The 26,191-nt window shown below is 49.5% G+C and overlaps 1 pseudogene, besides 3 other annotated features; it reads left to right on the forward strand.

The window, feature by feature from the left end:
* Window positions 7,834-7,933: an enhancer, noted in NCBI's record as "active region_17728". NCBI's record gives its function as "activates an Ori minimal core promoter by ATAC-STARR-seq in GM12878 lymphoblastoid cells {active_cell/tissue: GM12878}" and the evidence as "EXISTENCE:reporter gene assay evidence [ECO:0000049][PMID:35858748]".
* Window positions 16,631-17,465: an enhancer, noted in NCBI's record as "H3K27ac hESC enhancer chr20:31934530-31935364 (GRCh37/hg19 assembly coordinates)". NCBI's record gives its function as "activates a minimal SCP1, AML or CMV promoter by ChIP-STARR-seq in naive H9 embryonic stem cells {active_cell/tissue: H9 hESC(naive)}" and the evidence as "EXISTENCE:reporter gene assay evidence [ECO:0000049][PMID:30033119]".
* Window positions 17,027-24,951, forward strand: BPIFB9P (BPI fold containing family B member 9, pseudogene; annotated as a pseudogene).
* Window positions 19,133-19,965: an enhancer, noted in NCBI's record as "H3K27ac hESC enhancer chr20:31937032-31937864 (GRCh37/hg19 assembly coordinates)". NCBI's record gives its function as "activates a minimal SCP1, AML or CMV promoter by ChIP-STARR-seq in naive H9 embryonic stem cells {active_cell/tissue: H9 hESC(naive)}" and the evidence as "EXISTENCE:reporter gene assay evidence [ECO:0000049][PMID:30033119]".

Here is a 26,191-nt window from a genome sequence, read left to right on the forward strand (position 1 = left end):
CGGCCCTCAGCCTTCTTACCTCGCCTCCTCTCAAAGCCATCCTGCATGTGACTCCCCACTTACAGATGAGGAAACTGAGGCTCCCAGGGGCTGCACGAGTCCCGCAGGGACCCAGACCACAGGGCTCTTGGAGAGCATCAATGCCCCTACACAAATGACCTTCACAATGAGCTCCATGAAGTTGATGCTGTAATTCCCTCCCACTTAACAACGGAGGGAACTGAGGCTCAGAGAGTCAGAGAAACGTGCCCAGGGCAGCAGAACCGGGATCCAACAGGGGTTCATCTGACTTCAAAGTCTGTACCCTTAGCCCCAACCACCCACCTCCCGAGAACTCCAGACCCCAGAACAGGGCTGTTGCCTCTGATGCCTGCTGTCTGTGAACCGCAGAGGGTGGAAACCAGGGCCTGCCCAAGGGCACCCAAATACCAGGGAGGCAAAATGCAGCAGAGACCAGAGGGTAGAGGAAACCAGCGAAGGAACCACAGAGGAACCCCCAGGAGAGTTTGCCAGCTCTGAATCTGCCCCTGGAGCTGCCCTGCCTGCCCAGCCCTCCTTCCTTCCCACTGTGGGCTGAACCTGAGAAGAGGTGGACAGGGGTCAGGGGAATGGGCGGGTCTTAGAGATGCCCTTCATTTCTTTAACTCCCACCTTTAAAAGATTCCCATCTGTAAACAGCAGAGCAGGAGGGACCAAGGCAGAGACAATCATACGGAACCTCCTGGCTGCATGACCATGGGCAAGCTGCTGACCCTCTCTGAGCCTATCGTTCATATCTGGAAAATGGGGATAAAGAAAATTCTGGCCAGGCATGGTGGCTCATGCCTGTAATCCCAGCAGTTTGGGAGGCAGAGGCAGGTGGATCACGAGGTCAGGAGTTTGAGACCAGCCTGGCCAAGAGACCAGCCTGGCCAATATGGTGAAACCCCATCTCTACTAAAAATACAAAAAATGAGCCGGGCATGGTGGTGTGCACCTGTAGTCCCAGCTACTCGGGAGGCTGAGGCAGGAGAATTGCTTGAACCCAGGAGGTGGAGGTTGCAGCGAGCTAATATCACGCCACTGCACTCCAGCCTGGGCAACAGAGCGAGACTCTGTCTCAAAATAATAATAATAATAATAATTCTCCCTAGGAGCTGGAAGTCAGGGCTCTCCTTACAAACATGAGGAAGTGTTAGGACCACTGTCTTCAGCCAGCCCTGCTCAGGCACTTAACAGAACTCAACCCTAATCCCACACAGAGAGACCCTGCGCTGCACAAAAGGAGGCAGCAGGGGCCGGCAGCAGTGTGCCTCATCAAACCCTGCTTCCAGCCCCACCCTGCAGACCCCTTTCCTAGATTCAGCCCCTGGTGTCCCTAGTAGGGAGGGGAGGCCCAGACGCACTCCAGTGAGGACCACAGGGGCCACTACAGGGCCTGCAAGGCCTGGGCTGCTCCAAAAATGATGCTGCAAATCCTGGCCAGGTGGACCCGTCTGCTCAGAGTGCACCCAGCGTGGGCAGGGCCCACCTGTGCTCTGAATATCAGAGAGGAGCAGAGTCAGGACCCAGCCTGAGCCTTGAACCAGCCCCAGCAGCTGTCTCCTAACTGGCCTGTGAGAAGCAAAGGAAAAGAAGGCAAATGAGCTCATTGGCTTACTCGCCGAGTTACCTCCCGGCTTCCTTATGCTCTTGTGCAGGCCACACATGACACAACTGCAGGGTGCACCACTTGTACAGTAGTTTACATGAACAATGCCACCTGGAGTTGGGCAGTGCACAACCTACACAATCTTACATGGCTGCCCTGATGACCCACTCATTCATTCACCATCACTCAGTCAGTCAGTAACCTCACTGACTGCTCTGTGCCTGGCCCGGTGCTGGGCAATGCTGAGACAAAAAGATGAGTTAGACTCAGCCCCGGAACCCTCCAGGAGCTCCCATTCTGGTGGAAAACAATAGGTGCAGGAGCAGACAGATCCCAGCAGCATGGTCGGGTCTGGCAGAGGTTTGGGCATTGTGGGTGGCAATGCGTGAGAGGCTCTAGCTGGTGAGGGGCCCACTTCAGGGCGACCCAGGCAGGACAAACCCCGACACAGAAATGTTAGAGGGCCCTTGACACATAGGCTCTCAGGAAGAGTCCCAGAGTCTGATCTGTTCCTTCCCTCACAAGCTTTCCTGAGATTCCCCCTCCCCCTCCTTTCTCTCCCCTTGTCCAGGGGTCCCTAACTCTGCCCTCTTCATCCAGGGGAAAGTGTATCCTTAGGACACACACGGCCCCTCTAAGGTGTAGTGGGAGCAGCCTCAGGCAGAGCTGGTATTTTGGGCATCAAGGACAAGGATGGTGGGGAACGTGCTCTGCTTCTACCCACAGGATTACCTGCTGCTGGCCATTCTGGGCAAGTAGTGGCTTCTGACCAAGAGCCAGTCCACCCCCCGCCATGAGTTTTCCAGCCCCTGATGGCCTGCAAAGGGCCACAGTGTTCCAAAACCTCAGCTGCAATACAGAGGGTTCTTGCCTGAGCAAGAGTCAGTTCTGAGTATGCTAAGGGGTTCTGTGAGGAGGGGAGACTGTCTTGAAATATTTAAATGCGGGCTTTTTCCCCCTGATATTTCTTGGCTTCCCGTGGCCCCTGAGAAAGGAATTCTGAATTCTATATTCAGTGTCTCCAGGAAGGGAGAGTTCCTCAGAAAATGGTGAAGAGGTGTTTGAGTTTCAAAAGTCCCAGCCCTGACAGGATAGGGTGTGGAGGGGACACAAGGAACCATGCACACCGGAAAGCCTCGCTGATGGAGAGGGAGGAAGGAAGCAGGAAAGATGAGGGGCTTGGGGGTCTCTAAGAAAGCGGGAACCACAGAAGCCCAGAGACGCTTGGGAGACCCTGAGTGCGGAGGAAAGGAGCTGAGGGAGGCGGCAAGACCCCCAGGCTGGGAGCTGGGTCCAAGTGGGTGGTCATGAGACAACCACACCCCAGAGTCCCCAGGCCCACAAGGCATGGCGCACGCTCAAGAACAGTGCCATCGTGGACGCGGGCCCAGGACACACACATGCCCCGCCCCAGCTCCCCTCGCCCACGTGGCCCTGGCAGGGCAGGGCAGTGAACAGAAAAAGATCCCGCCCCAGAGTCAAAACGTGCACGGTAGGTGTTCGCCGGGGCAGAGAGAAGGCAAAGCACAGAGCGCCCCACCCACAGGCACCTGTCGCTGTCCACAGCAGGTAGGCCTGGCCCCAGGAAAAGGCAGATGAGGAGAAACTTCACACTGATTATGATAAAATCCCTGGGAGCAGCAGGATGGAGGCTCGTGGCAGCCTCTGTCTTGGGAGTGAGCAAGCATTCAGCTCCCTGGTAGCCCTGGCTGGCCTCAGAAAACCAGAGTTTCCCGGGGGCCCTTCACCACCACACAGCCCAAACCATGGAGGCTTTCATGGGTCTGGGGCAGGATCGCTGTCCCGCAGCAGAAGGTTGGGGTTCAGAGCGAGCCTCGCTGTGGGTTCTTTACGTGGCTCCCTGATCTGTTTCATTTATGAACCACAAGCCCAACCTTGAAGGGAAAAAAGACCCCAGTGGGCAGCCCCAGAGGTCTTGACCTAGAGGGCAGGACCACCCTGCACATGAACTTGCAAAGTCTCCCAGCCCTTGGTGTGCATATATGACACGACTAAGATTGGGTGGAGGCTGGAAGACAAGCTGAACCCTCACCCCAAGCCCAGAGATTTCCCACCCATGTGTCAGCTCGGTGCCCAGCACATGGTAGATACTTGGTACAAAATGCTTGAATGGAGAATTCCTTGGGACCTTGAAGAAGCCGGGCAGGCCTTGGCCTCCTCAGCCAGGATGGCCTGTCCAGGCACCGGCAAGCCTTTCCCACCCACCACGAAAGCCCCTCGATCCCCTCCCAAGATTTCCACAGATGCATCTTCCACGGTGCATCTCACTTTGCAGTTTGCAGGCTCATGCACCCATCTTCCCATCAGATCTTCAGATAACACTGGCTGGTGCCAGACAGGGAGTGTGATTATTCCTATTTGTAAGGTGGTGAGGACCACAGATGGATAGGAGGGTGGGTAGATGGAAGGATGGGTAGATGGATGGTGGATGGATGGATGGACGAATGAATGTAAGGATAGATAGGTGGATGGTGGATGGATGAATGGATGGGAGGATGGGTAGATGGATGATGGATGGATGGATGGATGGATGGATGGATGGATGGATGGGAATGTAGGAAGATGGATGACGGATGGATAGATGGATGGATAGGAGGGTGGGTAGATGGATGGTGGATGGATGAATGGATGGGAGGATGGTTAGATGGACTGTGGATGGATGAATGGATGGGAGGATTGGGTAGATGGATGGTGGATGGATGGATAGGAAGGTACGAAGATGGATGGTGGATGGATAGATGGATGGATGGATAGGAGGGTGGGCAGATGGATGGTGGATGAACGAATTCATCATCACTAATCTAGCCCCACTCCCAGCTGAGACACACAGTCGCTGGAACCAAGAAGAGAGGCAGGGGTCAAGGATTTCAGATTCCCCATGTTCATACAAATATTTTTCAGAATAAATAACTCTTACCTATTTATTAGAGCAAAGAGCTCTTCTAAGTGATACCTTAAAACAAACAAAACCTAGTTTGAAATGTTACATGGAATCAAACTGCTTTTTTATCCAAAGTAAATTCATAATTCAGACATTTCACTAATTGACATCTTCCTCCACAAGATATCCAAGTGCTTGAGGTCAACAAGAGCAAGCCAAATCTCAGATGGATCAAGAATCTCGAACATATTCACATTATTTGAAATGCATATGATTAATTCCCACTTCTGGGAATTTCCTAAAGAAATAATCAGAGATGGCTGGGCGCGGTGGCTCATGCCTGTAATCCCAGCACTTTGGGAGGCCAAAGTGGGCAGATCACCTGAGGTCAGGAGTTCGAGACCAGCCTAACATGGTGAAACCCCATCTCTACTAAAAATACAAAAAAAATTAGCCTGGTGTAGTGGTGGGCGCCTGTAATCCCAGCTACTTGGGAGGCTGAGGCAGAAGAATTGCTTGAACCCAGGAGGCAGAGGTTGCAGTGAGCCGAGATCATGCCATTGCACTCCAGCCTGGGCAACAGAGCAAGACTCTGTCTCAAAAGAAAAAAAAAAAAGAAAAAGAAAAAAAAATAATCAGAGATGCAGACAAAGATGGTTACCATAGCACTGGTTTTATGGTGAAAATTTGAGAACAATCTAAATGTCCAACAATACAAGATTTATTTTTATGATAAATTCCTAATAAAAAATTTGTACAGGCATTAAAATAATGTTTTAAAAGAGCATTCATAAGAAAATACAAGAAGACTAGGATACAAACCTATTTAGAGATGATCTGAAAATTAAATGTACATATATAAAATAAATGAGCTGGGCACAGTGGCTCACACCTGTAATCCCAACACTATGGGAGGCCAAGGCAAGCAGATTGGTTGAGCTCATGAGTTCGAGACCAGCTTGGGCAGCATGATGAAACCTCATCACTACAAAAAATACCAAAAAAATTAGCCAGGCATGGCGGTTCATGCCTGTAGTCCCAGCTACTCGAGTGGCTGCGATGGAAGGGTGGCTTGAGCCTAGGAGGCAGAGGTTGCAGTGAGCTGGGATGGCACCACTGCACTCCAGCCCAGGCAATAGAGCCAGGCCTTGTCTCAATAAATAAATAAACTCAAAATGTAGGCTGTGATTGTCAGACAGCTTGAGTGGTAGGATCGCAGGTTACTTTTATTTTATTCTTAATACTGTTTCCAAAACTTTTATGGTGAACATGGTTGACTTTTATGATTGGGGGAAAATGTTCTCATTCATTCAATAATTGTAGGGATAGGTATCGACACTTTGTGCCACATGAGCAAAACACAGCAAGAATGGTTTCTGCCCTCACAAAACTTGTGATGGAGACGTTAAATAACCCAGCCAATAAAAAGACAAAGGACTACAAATTCCAATGAGAGCCAAGAAGGAAAACTACAGGGTGCCAGGAGAGAGAAGAATGGCAGCGTGGCCAGGCACAGTGGCTCATGCCTGTAATCCCAGAACTCTGGGAGGTTGAGGAAGGCAATCACTTGAGGCCAGGAGTTCAAGACCAGCCTGGCCAACATGATGAAACCCCATCTCTACTAAAAATACAAAAATTAGCCAGGCGTGGTGGCACTTGCCTGTGGTCCCAGCTACTAGGGAGGCTGAGGCAGGAGAATCGCTTGAACACAAAGGCGGAGGCTGCAGTGAGCCAAGATCGTGCCACTGCGCTCCAGGCTGGGTGACAGAGTGAGGCTCTGTTTCAAAATAAAAACAATGGCTAGGGTAGCCTACTTTAGAAGAGGTGACCGGGGAAGGCCTCTTGAAGGAGAAGCTGTTCGAGCTGAGACCTGCAGTGTGAGTGAGCCAGGTAAAATGTGGAGGAAAGGGTTCTGGGCAGTGGGAACAGAATGTGCAAAGGTCCTGGGGTGGAAATAAGGTGGGTCTATCTGAGAAACTAACAGAAAGCCAGTGCAGACAGTGAAATAAGCAAGAAATGGTAGGAAATGAGGTTGGAGAGGCAGGCAGAGGTCCAACTGCACAGGGCCTCAAGGGCTAGGCCAAAAATATGGGCACCATTCTGTGCGGAATGGTGATTCACTATTTTAAGCAGGAGAGTGATGTGATCTGAATATGTCAGACTTTTTTTTTTTCTTAAGAGAAGGGGTCTCACTATGTTGCCCAGGCTGGTCTGGAGCTCCTGGGCTCAAGCAATCCTCCTGCCTCAGTTTCCTAATGTCATGCACTTTTAGAAGAAAAGAGATTGAGCCAGAGCTACAAAGCTACAGACTCCCAGAGCTTTGGGGGAAATCCAGTGCTGTTTTATTGTGAGACATCAGGGATCAACCCTGAGATGTTCAAACCAACTACCCTGAGGGAGCTCATATCTCTGCCCAGTGTTGTTCTGAAGAGCGGTGGAGACAGGAGAAAGGAAGGCTGAAGGTGGAGGGAACTCCCTGCCTCACATCAGCTATCACTTTAGGCACTCAGAGCCACTGTCTTCTCTGATTCCCATAAGCCCCATCAAAGAGAAGCAGACAGGGACTTGTTAGCCTATTTGACAGACAGAGAAACTGAGGCTCAGAGGAGCTGGCCCCATTCATTCGTGCATTCCTTCATTCATGCATTTACTGCACGCTAGGTGGAGACAGGGATGTGCAAGACGAGTGAGACACGCCCCAGCCCTCAGGCATCTCATGGACTATCGGATCAAGAAGACAAGGGGCATATCCTGGGAAAAGGCTTTGCTCCAGACATGTCTGCCTTTGAATCTCAGTCCTGCCACTTCTGCAGAGAAGTAACTTCTCTGAACCGCAGTTTCTTCACGTCTAAATGGGGAAAGTGGTGATGCTGCTGAGGAGGAGGACGGGGGAGGAAGAGGAGGAGGAGCGAGGAGGAAGATAGGTTGTTGTAAGAGTGGAAAGCATTTGCTGAGTGCTCAGTAGTGGGATTTTGGAGGTTGTGGGCAACTCCTTCTGACCCAAGTTTTAGTGTGATTTCCATGACACACCCTGTCTCTCCATCCTGGGCAGCGTTAGTTCTCCCTTATGTGAAACCCAAGCTGGCTGAGCCCACAGGCAAATGCAGCCATAGTGACACTGGAGCTATTCAGAGCCAACCTGTTGCCCTTCTATAAAAAGATGCCCACTGGCATCCTGAACACACGAAACAATGTGTACCCAGTGGGTGCAAAGAGGCAGGGGGTGCTCAGAGGAGAAGCAGCAGAACCAGAGTGCCCATAAGCCACACGTCCTCTGGGAAGGAAGGGAAAGCCCTCTTGGGACAGACACACTCAATTTTGACTTACAAAGCAGAAACCACAGGCCTAACCCTGAGTATTGACATCTGTGAGCAAGTGGATTGAAAAGAAACAGCCAAAACTGAAACATCTGCAAACACGTCTTAAATACAGTACTTCGCTTTGAAACCTCTTACACATTTGTGACAAGGTTTGTTCACATATCTACTTTGGGAGCATGTGCCCAGAAAACTTTATACCCCCATTGAAAATGAAACTTCAGGCCAGGCACGACGGCTCATGCCTGTAATCCCGGCACTTTGGAAGGCCGAGGAGGGTGGATCACCTGAGGTCAGGAATTCGAGACCAGCCTGGGAAATATAGTGAAACCTTGTCTCTACAAAAAATACAAAAATTAGCCGGGCTTGGTGGCCTATAGTCCCAGCTACTTGGGGGGATGAGGTGGGAGGATCACGTGAGCCCAGGAGGCAGAGGTTGCAGTGAGCCAAGATCATGCCACTGCACTTCAGCCTGGGTGACAGAGTGAGACCCTGTCTCAAAAAAGAAGAAACTTCAGAGTGAGGTTAAAATGTCTCTATACCGGCTTTCTGTCTAGTAAAATCATTCTAAATGATCCATTTTTGGGAGGAGATAAAGAAACATAACCCCCCAAAATCCATATTTTACTGTTTCAAACAAGGTGTAAATAGTTGTGAAAATCTAGATTCTGTAGATAGGAGAATGGCATAAAATCAAAGACCTGAGCGTGGCTGATGCAATAGTAGATAATGATGATGATAGTAGATTATGGAGACTCACATATCCTAGGCAGGGTGACATATTTCATCTTGTTTAATCCTCACAGCAACCCTATGATAGGCATGATTTCATCCCCACTTTATAGATGAGGAAACTAAGGAACAAAAATATTAGATAATATCCCAAGGCCACACAGCCAGGAGGCAGCAGAACCAAGATTCATATCAAGGCCTGTCTGGCCCCAAACTCTGTGACCAGAAACTCTGCCTTTTCCTAAACCATTGGTTCTTCACCGTTTATACATCACAAGGCCCATCAAGAATCTCATTAAAGCAACGTGGGGATATCATTGAGCCCAGGAGTTTGAAACCAGCCTGGGCAACATAGTGAGATCCCATCTCTACCAAAAACATAGGAAAAAGCTAGCTGGGCATGATAACATGAACCTATAGTCTCAGTTAAGGTGGGAGGATGGCTTGAGCCCAAAAGGTCAAGGCTGCAGTGAGCTGTGATGGCACCACTACATTCCAGCCTGGGCAACAAAGTGAGACCCTGTCTCAAAAAAAAAAAAAAAGAATCTCATTAAACGTATCTCTGAGAAGTGAACATTAACACCAAATTTTATATGCAACTTCAGAGGGTCCAGGGACACAAACTGCCTGCAGTAGCCCCCCGTGACCTCGTGTGACTGGCAGAGATCTGACACTGATTACGCCAGAGGACTGAGCCAAGGAAGGCAGGCCATGGCCTCCGAGTTCCAGGGGCCTAGACAGACACAGACAAGCACATAAAAAGATAAAAGCATAAACATGTATGCAGACATGTGTGCGTCACTAAAGAATCCTTAAGTTTCTGTCCCTGGGACATCCTCGGCTCAACCTGGCCTATTGTGATCTCCTCACACAGAGGCTATTAAGAGTTGGCAGACTGCATTATCACTGGTCATTGTGATCTCAGCCAAGACTTGGCCAGCCTTGAAAAGGACTTCCCTTCAAAGAGTCTGCAGGTCAAATCGCTTAGGGCTCAGGGACAAACTGGCCGTTGTTCCCAGCTGATAAGCCACCCTATGTCACGTAATCCACCATGGGGACCCTGGATTAGCAGAAGTCAATGGCTGCCCCACCTCCTAAAGTTGAAGAGGAGAGAGACAAAGAAGCAGGAAGCCCCGAGGCCCATCAGAGGCTGCCTCCCGGATGTGCCCCTTCCCCTTCATGACCTCTGCGGTTGGGTTCATTGTTTGGGTTCAGAGAATCATTCGAGGCACCAAACTCAAGGGCCACACCCACCAATGGGTGGCACAAATTTCATCTCAAAGATGATTCAATTTCCCTCAAATGTCCAAGAAAAATAAGACCCAGGACAGTTGAGTTTCGTCTCCTACTTATCATCATGAATAAAACTCTAAGTTCTGCCCTCTGACATTTGATGCAAAGGTCTACGTATCTAATACAAAGGTCTATGCACTGTCTGTTCAGCAATGTCCAAAGTGGGGCCTTTGACAAATGAAACCGTAGTTGAGGTTCATGGCATGAGAACCTCAGTGGAGCTGGAGAGGTCCTGCAGCCTAGGGAAGGCCAGGCAGCAGACATGCTGAGCCTGCTTGAAGGCAGGACCCCAGTCCAATGCCTAGCCTGCAGGTCCCTGAAGCGGGCATTCACCACCCCCTGAGGCAAAATCAGCTTCCTCACCTGGACTCTTGCTTTGTAAGGCTGTGGTTACACCAAACAGCATGATAGGACGCACAAAACAAAATCACAAATCTTCAAGTGATAGGAACCTAGATGATGACTGGGCCTTCTCCTGCTGTACAGGGAAAGCCTCAGGCCCAAAGAATAGGTTCTAGAATTTGGGGAGCCATTCAATGAGATAACAGGTAAGAAGGAGCCCTGTCCAAAGACTAGATTTTTTTTTTTTTTTTTGAGACAGGGTCTTGCCCTCTTACCCAGGCTGGAGTGCAGTGGTGTGATTAAGGTTCACTGCAGCCTCGACCTCCTGGGCTCAAATGATCCTCCAAACTCAGCCTCCCGAGTAGCTGGGACCACAGGCACATGCCACCACGCCTAGATAATTTTTGTATTTTTGTGGAGACAGGGTTTCGCCATGCTGCCCAGGCTGGTCTTGTACTCGTGAGCTCAAGCAATCTACCTGCCTTGGCCTCCCAAAGTGTTGGGGTTACAGGCATGAGCCATTGCTCCCAGCTGAATTTCTTAAATATAAATGAGAACCTCAGCAGCCTAGTGACACCATTCAAGTCTCATTCCAGGGGCAACCAGGGGAAGCAAAGTGGGCTGAGCCAGTTATGTAACTCCCAAGCTTAAACCCCTCCACCTTCCAATCACCCTGAAAACAAAAATCCAAAGTCTACCACAGTGTATCCCTCAGGATGCATCTGGTCACAGGCAACAGAAAACAGGCCCTTATTGATGATTTCACCTGGAAGGTGTTCAGAGCAGGGCAGCTCCTTGCCTGGTAACATCTGCGGATCAACATCTTCCTTCCCATTTCTCTACTGTCTCCTTCATCTTCAGCCAAGCTCTCACCCCTAGAGCTACTCAAGCTCATGCCCATTCAGGTTTTTTATACTTTCCAACCACCCTGCATCCATTACTCACTCCCCAGGTCTTTGCATGGTTCGATCCATCATCATGTCACCCACGTCTGGGATAAAATGTCACTCAGCACAGAGGTGTGGGTCCAAAGGAATCTCACCCCCTCTTCTCCATCATCTTTGTTTCTCTTTCTTCACACATGTATCATTATCAAGAATTGTCAGGCTGAGTGCTGTGGCTCACATCTGTAATCCCAGCACTTTGGGAGTCCAAGGCAGGTGGATTCCTTGAGTCCAGGAATTTGAGACCAGCCTGGGCAACATGGCGAAACCCTGTCTCCACTAAAAATAGAAAAATTAGCTGGGCGTGGTACCACGCGCCTTTAGTCCCAGCTACTTGGGAGGTGAGAGGATTGCTTGAACCCAGGAGGCAAAAGTTGCAGTGAGCCAAGATCATACCACTGCACTCCAGCCTGGGAGACAGAGCGAGACTCTGTCTCAAAAAAAAAAAAAAAAATAGAATTGTCCTGTTATCAGTGTCCCCCACTAAGGGGTGAACTGCATGAGGGAGGACACAGTATGGCATGTCCCCTGCCTGATCCCTACCACCCACCACAGTACCTGGCAGGGAGAAAGTGCAGGGGCTCTTTGCTGAAAGAATGCATGTGTTGCACACATGCTGGAACCCTGACAACTTCCCACTTCATTTCCAGAAAGGAAAAGTCGGTACTGGAAGGTCATTTTATGTCCAGTAGGACAATCCAAGCCCAAATCCTAGACCAGCTCCAGACTTCTGGGTGTCTTGGGGCATGTGACCCCTGCTCTGGAACTCTGTCCTCACCTACAAAATGAGGGTGCAGAATGGACTAGACTAGTGGTTCTCCAATCTGGGCCGCCTGCAGAGAGGCCTTCTAAAACAAATTCCTGCACCTCCACCCTTACTTATTAAAGCAGGATCCAGAAGTTGGGGAAGAGAGGAACCAAGAATTAAAACCTGTAACATACGCACCAAGGTGATAATGATGTCTATTGGGACCTTCAGGTTCTTCTGAACTCAGAGGTACTGGAATAAAGGGCAGGCCCAGGCCCATGGCTGCCACATGGACTCTCCAGAGAACCTTCCAGATGCTCTGCCCAAGCCCAGCTCGTGCAGCTCCCGGAACCAGCTTCCTTTCCCTCCGAGCCTGATCCATGCTCATTCACTCATCCCTGGGATGAGCTAGGAGTGTCAGTCTCTCCCAGCTGACCATCAGCAGCCTTAGGGCTGGAACCCTGTCTGTGATATGCAATGTTCTACTGCTGTCCAGAAACACTGCCTGGCACAATATGTGTCTGTGGGAATGAAGGAATGAACAAGAGCACGCAGGCCCATTACTGTGGGGCTTTTTGGAGCCTGCAATGAATTAAGATGCTCAGAGAGGCCGGGCACGGTGGCTCACCCCTGTAATCCCAGCACTTTGGGAGGCAGAGGCGGGCGGATTTCTTGAGGCCAGGAGCTCAAGACCTGCCTGGCTGACATGGCAAAACCCCATCTCTTCTAAAAATACAAAAATTAGCCAGGCATGGTCGTGCACACCTGTAGTCCCAACTGCTCAGGAGGCTGAGGCAGGAGAATCACTGGAACCCAGGAGATGGAAGCTGCAGTGAGCTGAGATAGCACCACTGCACTCCAGCCTGGGTGACAGAATGAGACACTGTCTCAAAAAAAAAAAAAAAAAAAAAGTCACTCAGAGGATCTCCAGACAAGGAGAGGCCCACCTCCACCCTGTGCAGTCAGGCCCAGAGCCTGGACCATGAAACAGAGGTTGGGACACATTTGCCATAGGGAACAGGGACTGCCCCATACAGTCAGTACTCTATGAATGCACAAGAATGTCATGTATCTTGGGGGCTGATTGAATCCAATAGACAGGGGCCATCTACTCTACTTACTTCAGGCACGTTTGAACTGAATTAACTACCTAGACGCATTCATAAGGTTTTTTCCTTTCCGTCAACTCTTTTTTTTTTTTTTTGAGACAGAGTCTTGCTCTGTCACCCAGGCTGGAGTGCAGTGGTGCAATCTCGGCTCACTGCAAGCTCCGCCTCCTGGGTTCAAGTGATTCTCCTGCCTCCACCTCCTGAGTAGCTGGGATTATAGGCATGTGTCACCATGCCTGGCTAATTTTTTGTATTTTTGGTAGAGATGGGGTTTCACCATGTTAGCCAGGATGGTCTCAATCTCCTGACCTCATGATCTGCCCACCTTGGCCTCCCAAAGTGCTAGGATTACAGGCATGAGCCACCGCATCTGACCCTTTCTGTCAACTTCTATACTAAATTATTTATCTGCTTCTTCTAATCTTCCCAGCAACCTTCTCCCAGGAGAGGTGAATGCCCCAAACTCACCTCAGGGCCGCCCACTCACTACAGAGCCTGTGAACACTTTTCTGTCTACCTGGGATGTTTCTCTGCAGGATGATCATAGATCACCTCAGTGACACCCGCTCATCCTTCAGACAGCAGCTCTCACATCACCTCCTAAGGGAAGCCCTCCCAGATTTCTCCTGTTCCCTCACAGAACTGGGCTCCTTTCCCTCAGAACATACCCTTTCTTCACTAGTCCCTCAATAAGTAGTGGCGTACACTGAATTACTTCATTCACATCTGTCCCACGCATAAAACTGGAAGAGCCCCACCACCAGAGACAGGGTTGGGTCTTTCCCACCTGCCAGAGCCTGGCACATTTGTAACCAGAGAAGTGCATGATGGTAATGGAAGCCAAGGACCACACAACCGGCAAGCGGCCTACCCAGGATCTGAGCCCAGAACTTTCTGACTCCAGGCCAGGCGTGGTGGCTCACGCCTGTAATCCCAGCACTTTGGGAGGTGGATCACCTGAGGTCAGGAGATTGAGACCAGCCTGGCCAACATGGCGAAACCCCATCTCTACTAAAAATACAAAAATTAGCCGGGCGTGGTGGCGCAAACCTATAATCCCAGCTACTTGGGAAGCTGAGACACAAGAATCACTTGAACCCCAGAGGCAGAGGTTGCAGTGAACCAAGATTTCGCCGCTGAACTCCAGCCTGAGAAGCAAGAGTGAAACTCCATCTCAAAAAAACAAAAAAAACTTTCTGACTCCAGTGCCCAGAGTCAGTGGCTCAGCAGCTCATGGACTCAGTGCTGAGTGCCGTCCATGCCCAGAGCACAGCACGGGCACCAGAGAGGGCTCCCCTAGGGCTGCTACCTGCCAGCCTCTCAGGTCCCTCTGCTCTGTCACTCTCTAGTGCCCCAATGGCTCCTAACGGCTTAAAATGGAGAATTAAAATCAGGAGATGTCAATGGGCTGGTTCATGTTCTTGACTTTGCCCCACAAAAGAATCTGAGAGCTAGTCCAAAGTAAAAGTAAACAAAAGGGTTTATTACAAAGCAGGCTGGGCCCGGTGGCTTACGCCTGTAATCTCAGCACTTTGGGAGGCCAAGGTGGGTAGGTCACCTGAGGTCAGGAGTTCGAGACCAGCCTGGCCAACATGGCAAAACCCTGTTTCTACTAAAAATACAAAGATTAGCCGGTGTGGTGGTGCACACCTGTAATTCCAGCTGCTAAGGAGGCTGAGGCAGAAGAATCGCTTGAACCTGGGAGGCGGAGGTTGCAGTGAGCCAAGATCACACCATTGCACTCCAGCCTGGTGACAGAATAAATTTCCGTCTCAAAAAAAAAAAAAGAGTTTATTACAAAGCAAAACAACCCTCTGACAGCTCATCAAAAGTGAGACAGCTCCGTGTGATGGGAGGGATCTTCCTTTATGGGAGATTTGCATGATTATTCATCAAGGGGCAAGAAAGAGGGGCTGCTACGAAACACGTTGGGGGTGCTTTATGAGGCCTGCATATTCAGTGGCTGTACGCGCTATTACATACATCGCATGTCTCATTAAAATCTTAAATCTCTACCCATGGGTATAGCTAAACTAAAGTTTTTTTTTAGCATCAAAAAGAGCCTAGGTCAGTTTGAGGTCATTAGTTCCAGGTTTCCGCACCTGTGCAGGCCTGGGGATTTTTTTTCCCTCAGTTCTTCCTCCTCTTTGCTACAGGATGTCTTTAACCACAAGCCCCCGATGCGGTTCATGGAATACCAAGTGGCTTGTTCTTGCCATAAATTTGATAAGTGTTTTTTTAAAGAGAGGCTCTACTATCTAACCTACCTCAGAGAGACAGACACCTGGCCTGCCCGCCCCCTTCACAAGAAGCTCCAAGCACTCCGAACATCTTTCAGGAAGACACTGGCAATGTTGCAGCAATGAGAAGGGGATGATTTGGAAGGCAGCCTGAATCACGCTGCCCTTATCAGCATGCTTGGATTGTGTCCCTTCTTGTCTGACTTTTCAGACAGACATTGGGCTATAAAATTGGGATGCAGCTCTGTCATCAACAGTCTGGCGGCAGGAGCAGAAGGAAAGGCAGCTTCCGAAAACTTGGACCCATCCACCCCAGGCAAGGTAAGAACTTGCTGCGTCGAACGGGTGAAAGAGAAGGTCCAGCTCTCAGGTAGCAACAAGCAACGCACAGTCCATCTAAGGACCCATAACGAGGGTTTATGCATTTTTTGATCGCTTTAGCAATGTCCCTCCCCTGCTGAAATGCACTCTGCCTAGCACAGGGAAGGTGGTTGACAATTGCCTGTTATGCATTGGTTTTCAGAGAATGGATTTAGTCCTGGGATTCTCAAAAGGTTTCACTCAAGTCAAAGTCTGACAATATTGCCATCAACTCAGTCACAGGCATAGATTTTTTTTTTCTGCGAAAGTATGCTTAGATGTCATGTGAGATACTGAGGTTGAATTTCCCGCAGATGAGAGTAAAATTTTAAAAACTAATGAAGCTGTGTTGAGATTTTTTTCATAAGGCCTAATTAATTCAAACTGAAGAATTCTCACTGGCTTCATTCAGATTGTACCCTTCCTCACATTCCTGCCATAGTTGCTCTTCTTTTTTAGGGATAGAGTCTCGATCTGTTGCCCAGGCTGGAGTGCAGTGGTGTGAACTTGTCTCACTGCAGCCTCAACTTCCTGGGCTCAACCGATCCTCCCACCTCAGCCTCCCAAGTAGCTGAGATTACAGGTGTGAACCACCACGCCCAGCTAATTTTTTTTTTTTTTTTTTTTTGTAGAGACGGGGTCTCACCCTTTTACCCAGGCCGGGATAGACACTTTTTTAGGGTGTTGGCAAATGGCAAATGGCTTGCTTTTGTTAATGCCTATACATGGCAAGGGCAAAGATTCACAACCCAGCCTGGCGCAGTGGTTCACACCTGTAATCCCAGCACTTTGGGAGGCCGAGGCAAGTGGATCACCTGAGGTCAAGAGTCAGAGACCAGCCTGACCAACATAGTGAAACCTCTTCTCTACTAAAAATACAAAAATTAGCTGGGTGTGGTGGTGTGCACCTGTAATCCCAGCTACTCAGGAGGCTGAGGCACGAGAGTCACTTGAGCCTGGGAAGTAGAGGCTGCAGTAAGCCAAGATTGCCCCACTGCACTCCAGCCTGGGTGACAGAGCAAGACCTTGTGGGGGGGGGGGGGGGGGGGAAAGGCCCCCAACCCAATTTTACAAAACAAGCTCACCTTGCCTCACCAAGGTAAAATGCCAGGGGACACAAACCTCCACCTCACCCTAAACATTAGAGGGAAAAACTTGGGAATCACACTTTTGGAGGAAAGTGAGGGTCAGTGGTGGGGATCAATCTCTGAAAGTCACCCAGCACAGCTCACACTCAAACAGGGGTGTCCTGACTGGGTGTGGAACCAGCTCTCTGCCTCCTGAGTCTCAGAATCCTCAGTGTGAGCAGACATATGCACACACCCCAGTGACAAGAGATAGACCTGAGAGTGCAGCTGCAGGATTCAGAACTCTCCAGTTCCCCAGTTAGTGACTCAGATGGCTCCAGGGATGTGACAGAGGAAGGTGGCATGAGAATATGTGACCTGAAGGTAACACCAGTGAGCAGGGCTTGGCCTGTACTTAAACGCAATGACCAGCCTGGAGAGTAGGTCTATGCACAGTTGAAAAGAAGTAGGGAGGTCAAGGCGGGTGGCTCACGAGGCCAGGAGTTCGAGACCAGCCTGGCCAACATGGCAAAACCCTGTCTCTACTAAAAATACAAAAATTAGCTAGGCGTGGTGGCAGGCACCTGTAATCCCAGCTACTCAGGAGGCTGAGGCAGAAGAATCGCTTGAACCCGGGAGGCGGAGGTTGCAGTGAGCCAAGATCATGCCATTGCACTCCAGCCTGGGTGACAGGAGCAAGACTCCGTCTCGAAAAAGAAAAGAAAAGAAAATAAGTAGGAAAAAGCCCTTTCTTCAAGACACTGACTGCTACATACTGCAACATTTTCCCATGACTGCAGCATACAGACTAGAATATCTACGATGGGAATGGCACCCTCCCGCAAGGGCCAGGACCCTGGTATGTGGACGTCCTACACAAACGTACATTGTGGCCTGATGGTCCCTGGGGAATGTGGTGTCTGAAGAAGCCCTCTTTTGCAGGTATCAGCCACCACGATGCTGACTCTCTGGGCCCTGGCTGTCATGTTGGCGGTCGAGGAAGCACTTGGCCAGCTGGAGCTCGCAGATAGGCCTTCCCTAATACCCACTTTGCCTGTCCGTTTTCCACCTGGATTGCTCCCTGGAAGTCTGTCAGTCTCAAAAGTCCCTCTAACCGGAAAATACCCAGCGAGGACCAAAGGAGGCAGGTGTCCACCCGTCACCAAGTACTTCATATCTGACAGCAAACTCGAAGACTGTAAGTAAGGGCTACACACCCTTGGTCCTTTCAGCCCCTCACGCAGGCTTCTCATTCCTAAGCTCAGCGGGGGGTTCTGTCTTCTGAACATGTGGGTCCCGAACATGAGGGGGTGTTGGACTCACCTTAGAAGCTTGTGATAGAACAGTTGCCCAGGCCCCCCTAGCCATTCTGGTCCGGCACTACTGCAGTGGGCCTGAGAGTCTGGCTTCCTCATCTGCTCCAAGATGGCACTGAGGCTGCTTGTCCAGGGTCCACACGTAGGTTAGGGGTGGTCTACACAACCCTGGAGGAGGGAACTCTCCCACCCGGCAGACTGATTACCTCCCACCTCACCTGGAGACTGTGCGGAGAGACTGCCCATCCCCTCCCTGCTGGGCCCCAGGGCTCACCCAGACTCCCACAGGTGCTGAAACCTCAATCCGCTTTAACAGGAGCCAGGAAATGGGAAATCTGGGCCCCGCCATCATCCCCTTGACCAGACTTGTTCTCTCCAAACTCCTTTTGTTCACTCACTCCCTGAGTCTCACCTCCTGCATTAGACAATGAGGAATTCTTTCCTCCAAGAACCCCGCAGAGGGTGAGGGCAGAGCAACTCAGGAATTTAAGGCTGGGCAAAGAAGTGACTCCCACTGAGGAGCCAGAAGGAGCAGGGATTTATTAGCAAATGAAGGCCAGCAGGAAGGCTCTCAGTGCTCTGACGCCAGCCTCGCAGTCATGGCCCACCTCAGCCATCCAGGATGAGAGGACAGGGCCACACAGGGAGACCTGGCACATGCTGCATGACCAAAGGGCCAGCCCCACAACTACAATGCGGACTGCTTTGACTCGGGAAGAACATGTGCTTTGCTCTTCCAGCAGCCTTCCTTGGTACAAAATACTTCAAATATATAGAAAAAAGACCAGACATGGTTTAAAAAAAAAAAAAAAAGACAGCTTTGTACCCATCACACAGTGATTTGGAGGTAATGGTGGTTAATTTTGGTTGCTTTGTTTTGTTTTTGTTTGTGTTTGTGTTGAGACAGGGTCTTGCTCTGTTGCCTAGGCTGCAGTCCAGTGGCACGAGGCCCCTTCACTCCATGCCCAAATCCCTTTAGATGTACTCAACAGCAGGCTGATCTCATAGTAGTTACTAATAAATGGTAGCTCTTAATAAGGGCACAGGCAAATTTCTCTGACACCAGGCTGTCCTTGGAGTAGGCAGTAGCAAGCACTGTTTTTTCCAGGAGGCACCATATACAGTTCCTATGGACCCCTCAATTCAAATGTGCCAGCTGCCTGGCAGGAAAGCTTCTTCTTGCTGAACCAACTGGGAAGGCCACAGCAAGAATGTGTCTCTTGACCCTTTTCAGATATGAATGCCACCTTGCCCCTGCAGATTGAGAAGATTCTGAAGTGTGAGAAGGTTAACTTGGCTGGTTTGCTTGGGACCGTATTATCCACAGTGAGCGACTTGGACCTGCTGTCTCTATTAGACCTCACTTCACCCCTTGATATACTTGGAGGTGCCAGCCTCAGTGGTATCCTAGGTGAGGGAAGTGGCGGCAAGTCCTCGAAACTTCCATTGCTCTCAGAACTCACTGGTGCTGTCAGTGGTCTGCTACCCCAGGGGACGGAGGGTCTGGTGAGCCTACTACCCACTGGTTCAGACAAGAACCCTGTAAAAGGACTCCTCGGTGGCACTGGTCTCTCCACTCTCCAGCGGCCTCTGAAGGATGTGACCGACAAAGTCCAAGACCTCAAAGAGTCTGCTCAGGGCGTGCTGAACAGCACCCTGCCCTCAGGCATCAGCGATGCACTCCCAGACCTGCTGAAAAATGCTGACCTGGAACAGCTCTTGCTGGGGTAAGTGCTTCCTTGACCCTATGTATGACTTCTCCACCAGAAACCTGCTGATTTGGATGCTCATGTTCAACTTCCAACAGTCCCACGGATTGGGATGGGTATATTGCTTGAGATTGATATATTTCACCAGAAATATTCTCGCTCTATGCTGTGCCTATATCCTTTCAGGGGGAAACAGGATCAAGATTTTTGAGCTTATAGGCCTGGGCACATTAGACAGCTGAGGGGTCAAGGGACTGGATGGTGGCTTGGTAGGCTGTTAATTATCTGCTTCAAAGGCATTTCTCCTGCTGTCCAGGCTGATTCGTTGAAACAGGACTGACTCTTGATGCTTTCGCTTTGCAGATTACAGGTTGAAAAAGTAACTGTGGAGAGCATGAAGTCAACCACGACAGGCGATGGGATCCATGTCCAAGCCACGACTACGGCCTTCATAGGTGGAAAAGGGTGAGTCTGTGCACACAGCAGTCCACTGGGTCCCCCTGCCCCAGGGTTGTAACATCCAGTGAGCAAAGACCAGGTAGAGACAACAGAGAGGACAGCAGCATGGGTGAGGATGGGGCAAAGCGGGCACTGCACACAGCTGCCCCTCTCCCCAAGTACAGGTGGGCAAGGCAAGAGAATGGTCCAGGGAGCCTCATCCTCCAATAATGTGAACAAAAATGTTGACGGGCTGGGTGTGGTGGCTCACGCCTGTAATCCCAGCACTTGGGGAGGCCTAGGCGGGCGGATTACGAGGTCAGGAGATCGAGCCCATCCTGGATAACACAGTGAAACCCCGTCTCTACTAAAAATACAAAAAAATAGCTGGGCGTGGTGGCGGGCGCCTGTAGTCCCAGCTACTCGGGAGGCTGAGGCAGGAGAATGGCGTGAACCTGGGAGGCGGAGGTTGCAGTGAGCCGAGATCACGCCACTGCACTCCAGTCTCGGTGACAGAGCGAGACTCCATCTCAAAAAAAAAAAAAAAAAGAAAATGACAGGACCCACTCACCCCACCCACCCCACTAAGCCACTAGGGAAGGCAAAACTAGGTCATGAAAAGTGCTGAAAGAGGCAAGGTTTTAGACTCAGTTAGTTTCACTTACAGGAATCTGTCCAAAAAACCTAAGTACAGATACATTTAAACACAAAGACATAGGGGTATTCATGATGGGAATTTAAAAAACAAAAAACCTGAAACAAAAAGCAAATAATTAAACCAAGTACAAGATTAGAAATGCTGACAACATTTATAATGGTATACAGAAATGCTTGTGAAGTTGTTTTTTTTTTGTTTTGTTTTTGAGACAAGGTCTCACTCTGTCACCGGGGCTGGAGTGCAGAGGCACAATCACAGCTCACTGCAGCCTGGATCTCCTAGGTTCAGGTGATCCTCCCACCTCAGCCTCTCAAGTAGTTGGGACCACAGGTGTGTGCCAAGGTGCTCAGCTAACTTCTTTTTTTTTTTTTAATTTTTTGTGGAGACCAGGTCTTGCTATGTTGCTCAGGCTGCTCTCAAACTCCTGGGCTCAAGCAATCCTCCTGCCTGGGCCTCCCAAAGTGCTGGGATTACAGGTGTGAGCCACCACGCCCAGCTATTGTTAGTTTTATTTTATTTTATTTTGAGATGGAGTCTCATTCTGTCGCCCAGGCTGGAGTGCAGTGGCGTGATCTTGGCTCACTGCAACCTCTGCCTCCTGGATTCAAATGATTTTTCTGCCTCAGCCTCCCGAGTAGCTGGGACTACAGGTGCACACCACCACACCTGGCTAATTTCTCTGTTGTTGTAGTAAAGATGGGGTTTCTCCATGTTCATCAGGCTGGTCTCAAACTCCTGACCTCAAATGATCTGCATGCCTCGGCCTCCCAAAGTGCTGGGATTACACGTGTGCACCACCATGCCCAGCTATTGTTGGTTTTTAAACTAACAATAGCAAAGTTTACTTTGCTGAAACTTCTAACTTTCCTGCTCTGTGGAGTTTGCATTTCATAAGCAGGGGGAAATGCATATTAACCAATGAAGGTCAGAATATCCATGAAAGGAAATTACAGACAAGATGGGCTTTGGAATGTGGGAAGGAATGAGGGCCTGCCAGGCTGACAGCGCATGTACAGGAAGGTAAGGAATGTGACTGTTGGCCAGGCGAGGTGGCTCACACCTAGAATCCCAGCACTTTGGGAGGCCAAGGTGAGTGGGTCGCTTGAATCCAGGAGTTGGAAACCAGCCTGAGCAACATGACAAAATCCTGTCCCTACAAAAAATCCAAAAATCAGCCAGGCATGGTGGCATGTGCCTGTAGTCCTAGCTGCTAGGGAGGCTGAGGTGGAAGGATCACTTGGATAGGAGGAGGCAGAGGTTGCAGTGAGCCGAGATTGCACCGCTGCACTCCAGCCTGGCAACAGAGTGAGACTCTGTCTCAAAAAAAAAAAAAAGTGACACAGATACACACACACACACACACACACACACCTTACTGGTAGAAACACTTAAACAAGGGCCATTCACCTGAAAAATAATGAATGTGGCTTCTCCTGGAAAGTCAGAGATCTGGGTGCCCTGAGCCTAACTGCATGGGGTCCACGGGCAGCCGGAGCTCAGCAGCAGCTCCTCCTTCACCAGGTGCCTGCCCTCAGGGCACTGCAAACCCCACCATGCCCACGGTCCCGCACCACAGTGGAGTTGGGGAGGTCAACAGCCACGTGTCCTCAGGCTCCTCCCACAGCAATACCTTCAGGACCACCTCACCCTCCACCTCCCCAGTCAGACCTCCAAAGGCATTGAAATGGGTGTCGGTCTCATGTGATTACCGAGATGTTTTTTCTGCTTTTTCACTCTAGGCTAAAGCCCACTTTAACAAAAATACCGTCACTGTGCCTGGAAGTTCTCTCTCTTCAGACACTAAAAATGTCAGCGTTTCCCTAATTCTGTCCTACGCGATGCTGAAGGTCATCATCACTCACACTGCCAAGCAGAGCTCTGTGCAGGTAAGGGTCGTCCACAGGGCCCGGCGTGGCTCAGCACTTTCCTCAAGCTCAGCCGGTCAGCCTCTGACAGCAAGAAGGTGGGGGTGAAAGTGGATTCTGAATGTTCTTTCAGGTTAATACACGACTGCCATGGGATGCACCTTTTCCCTTCATTGTCATGTAAATGGGTCCTGGTTTATGTTGGTGGAAAGCAGAGAACAGGGACTTGGGGAGAAAAATGTGGTCTGAAGCCGGGTGAGGTGGCTCATGCCAGTAATCCCCACACTTTGGGAGGCCGAGGCAGGCAAATTGCTTGAGTCCAGGAGTTCAAGACCAGCGTGGACAACATGTTGTCACCTTATCTCAGCAAAAAATTAGCCAGGCGTAGTGGTGCATGCCTGTAAGTCCCAGCTACTTGGGAGGCTGAGGCAGGAGGATCACCAGAGCCAGGGAGGTTGAGGCTGCAGTGAGCTGTGATTGCATCACTATATTGCAGCCTGGGTGACAGAGTGAGACTTTGTCTCAGAAAAAAAAAAGTGGGGGAGGAGGGGTTCTAAGTGCCATCTGTGTGCTAGGGGCAAAACCAGGTGTCTTTACATAACCAACATCATTTCATCCTCAAAACAGCACTAGGATGTAGGGTTTCTTATCCCCGTTTTACAGATGACGAGAGTGAGGGAAGGAAGCACCAACAGTCACAGAATGAGCAAAAAACATAAGGCAGTTGTTCATTTGCTACCGGCCCTAGAAGTGGCAGAGGGAATAGTAGCAATAGTAACAATCATAATTGACTTTTCTCTATGTGCCAGGCTCTCTTTGAAACAAAATATAATTTTTTTTAAGAGTGTGTCCCAAAGTGATCAAATGATCAAGTGCAGAACTCTCTTCCCACAAAGGCATACAGAGAGACAGGCTTCAGATTGGACAAGGTGTAATAGAAAAGTAAGATTTTACATGTTGCATGCCCCCACCATCCTTCAAAGAAAGGAAACATTATCAAGGTGAATGTTTAGAAATAGGCCTTGTCTGTCATGGTCACACCAGCTGCACCAGCACCCAGGTGACCAACTTACACCAGACGATAAATATTTGTATGTATGATCTGAATGATGCGAGAGTGTTTCATACTGCAACATCCTGCAGCCCTTACTCAACACACTCTAAATGACTACTTCTTTCCAACAGAGAAATAACCTGGATGCAAGAATCACCAAACTAACCTACTCCCACCGGCCAGACATAAAATCTAAGCCAGCTACTGGGTTAACATCACCAAGGACGGTGGGAGCTTTGTCACCGGGCAAACGGTGAGTGCTGAGAAATGAATCAGAGCAGAGTTGAGAGGAAGAATTGCAAGGAGCAGTGTTTAGTGGGTTTAGTTACTCCCTAAACTCTGAGGCTCAGAGTGTCTGGGTGTCCCTAGGATGAGGGAGTCCAGCCAGGCTGGTGGGCTCAGCCCCCAAAGGGAGAATGGAGTGAGCAGGTTGGCTTAGGAGGATAAGGCCAGGCAGACAACCCTCTGACCTGGGACCCTGTTGGCCATCGCGCACTGTGACATGTTTGCTGAGTAGCCAGGCCAAGGTGTTATTGTTAACTCATGTTCATTTTGTATTAATTCAGGAATTAATCATCTCATTCGTGAGCAAGATTTCGAAAGACAAACTGATCACAGACATCAAACTTCTGAGGTACTGTCTGTAACTACATAATCTGCCTGTCTATATAAGAGATATCTAAGGTCTGATAAAAATCGCATAACCGGCTGGGTGCAGTGGCTCACGCCTGTAATCCCAGCACTTTGGGAGGCCGAGGTGGGTGGATCACAAGGTCAGGAGTTCGAGACCATCCTGGCCAACTTGGTGAAACCCTGTCTCTACTAAAAATACAAAAATTAGCTGGGTATGATGGCAGGTGCCTATAATCCCAGGAGGCTGAGGCAGGAGAATTACTTGAACCCGGGAGGCAGAGTTTGCAGTGAGCTGAGATCATGCCACTGCACTCCAGCTCTGGGCAACAGAGCAAGACTCTGTCTCTAAGGAAAAAAAAAAAAAACTACATAAGCAAAATAATCACAAGGTTCTTGGGAAGTATCTGCAAAATTACAGAGAAATCAGGATGGAGTTTTGAACTCACATGCTGTTGTTCATCTTACATTGACTCTTTCTGCTCAGTAGTTTCCAATTTATAAGTGACTTTAAGGAGCAACTGACATCCTACTTAGCTCTACAATGGAGTTGTATTTTCACCTGAATCTAATATTTCTCTGTACTTTGTTTCCTGACAGCTCTGAACACAATACAACACCCCCCAAGTTTCTTATGTTTTCAATATATTTATTGATGGTATGTGAGAAAAGATTGTAGTGCCAGGTGCTCAGTGCCATACACACTCTGGAAAGAAAAGGTCAGGAATGGCCAGGCATGGTGGCTCACACCTGTAATTCCAAGACTTTGGGAGGACGGGGTGGTTGGATCACCTGAGGTCAGGAATTCAAAACTGGCCTGGCCAACATAGTGAAACCCCATCTCTATAAAAATACAAAATTAGCCAGGCGTGGTGGCGCATGCCTATAATCCCAGCTACTCAGGAGGCTGACGCAGGAGAATCGCTTGAACCCAGGAGGCGGAGGTTGCGGTGAGCCGAGATCGATCGCACCATTGCACTCCAGCCTGGGCAACAAAAGCAAAACTCCATCTCAAAAAAAAAAAGAAAAGAAAAAATGTACACATCGATTGTATGTAAATTACACATACCTCAATAAAGCTGTTAATAGTGTGTATGGTATACAATCATTTGTATAAAATAATCACAAATATAAATCATTTTATACACAGAGATTATCTCTGAAAAGATACATTAGAAAATGATTAATGTGCTGGATTTTGTAAAAGGGAACTAGGGGATTAGTAGGCGGGAAGGTGATTGATTACAGATACCTACTGTATTGTTTGGATTATTTACCATATGTATGTTTTACCTTTTGTTTGTTTGTTGTTTTTGAGACAGGGTCTCACTCTGTCACCCAGACTGGAGTGCAGTGGTGCACTCTCAGCTCACTGCAGCCTCCACCTCCTGGGTTCAAGCCATTCTCCTGCCTCAGCCTCCCGAATAGCTGGGATTACAGAGATGTGCCACCACGCCTGGCTAATTTGTGCATTTTTAGCAGAGACGGGGTTTCGCCATGTTGGTGAGGCTGGTCTCAAACTCCAGACCTCAAGTCATCCACCCGCCTTGACCTCCCAAAGTGCTGGGATTACAGGCGTGAGCCACCACACCCGGCCTGTTTTACCTTTTTATAAAAATTGAAATAATTTCAAAACCTGCTTTAAGTGCCTTCTGAAGAAAGGACTAGGGTAAGGAACCATCACAGATAAATGTTCTCAATAGAAGACGGACCCTAAGAGTAGAAACCAATCCTTGAGCGCTGAACCAGCACCTGAGGAAGAGGTTCCTGTTGTGCAGGTAAATGAAGAAGGTCTAAAGGACATCATGGCCAGACACACAATAAAAGCCCCAGTATA

Source organism: Homo sapiens, chromosome 20 (assembly GCF_000001405.40).
Source record: "Homo sapiens chromosome 20, GRCh38.p14 Primary Assembly".
In the NCBI taxonomy this organism is placed as follows: Eukaryota; Metazoa; Chordata; class Mammalia; order Primates; family Hominidae; genus Homo; species Homo sapiens.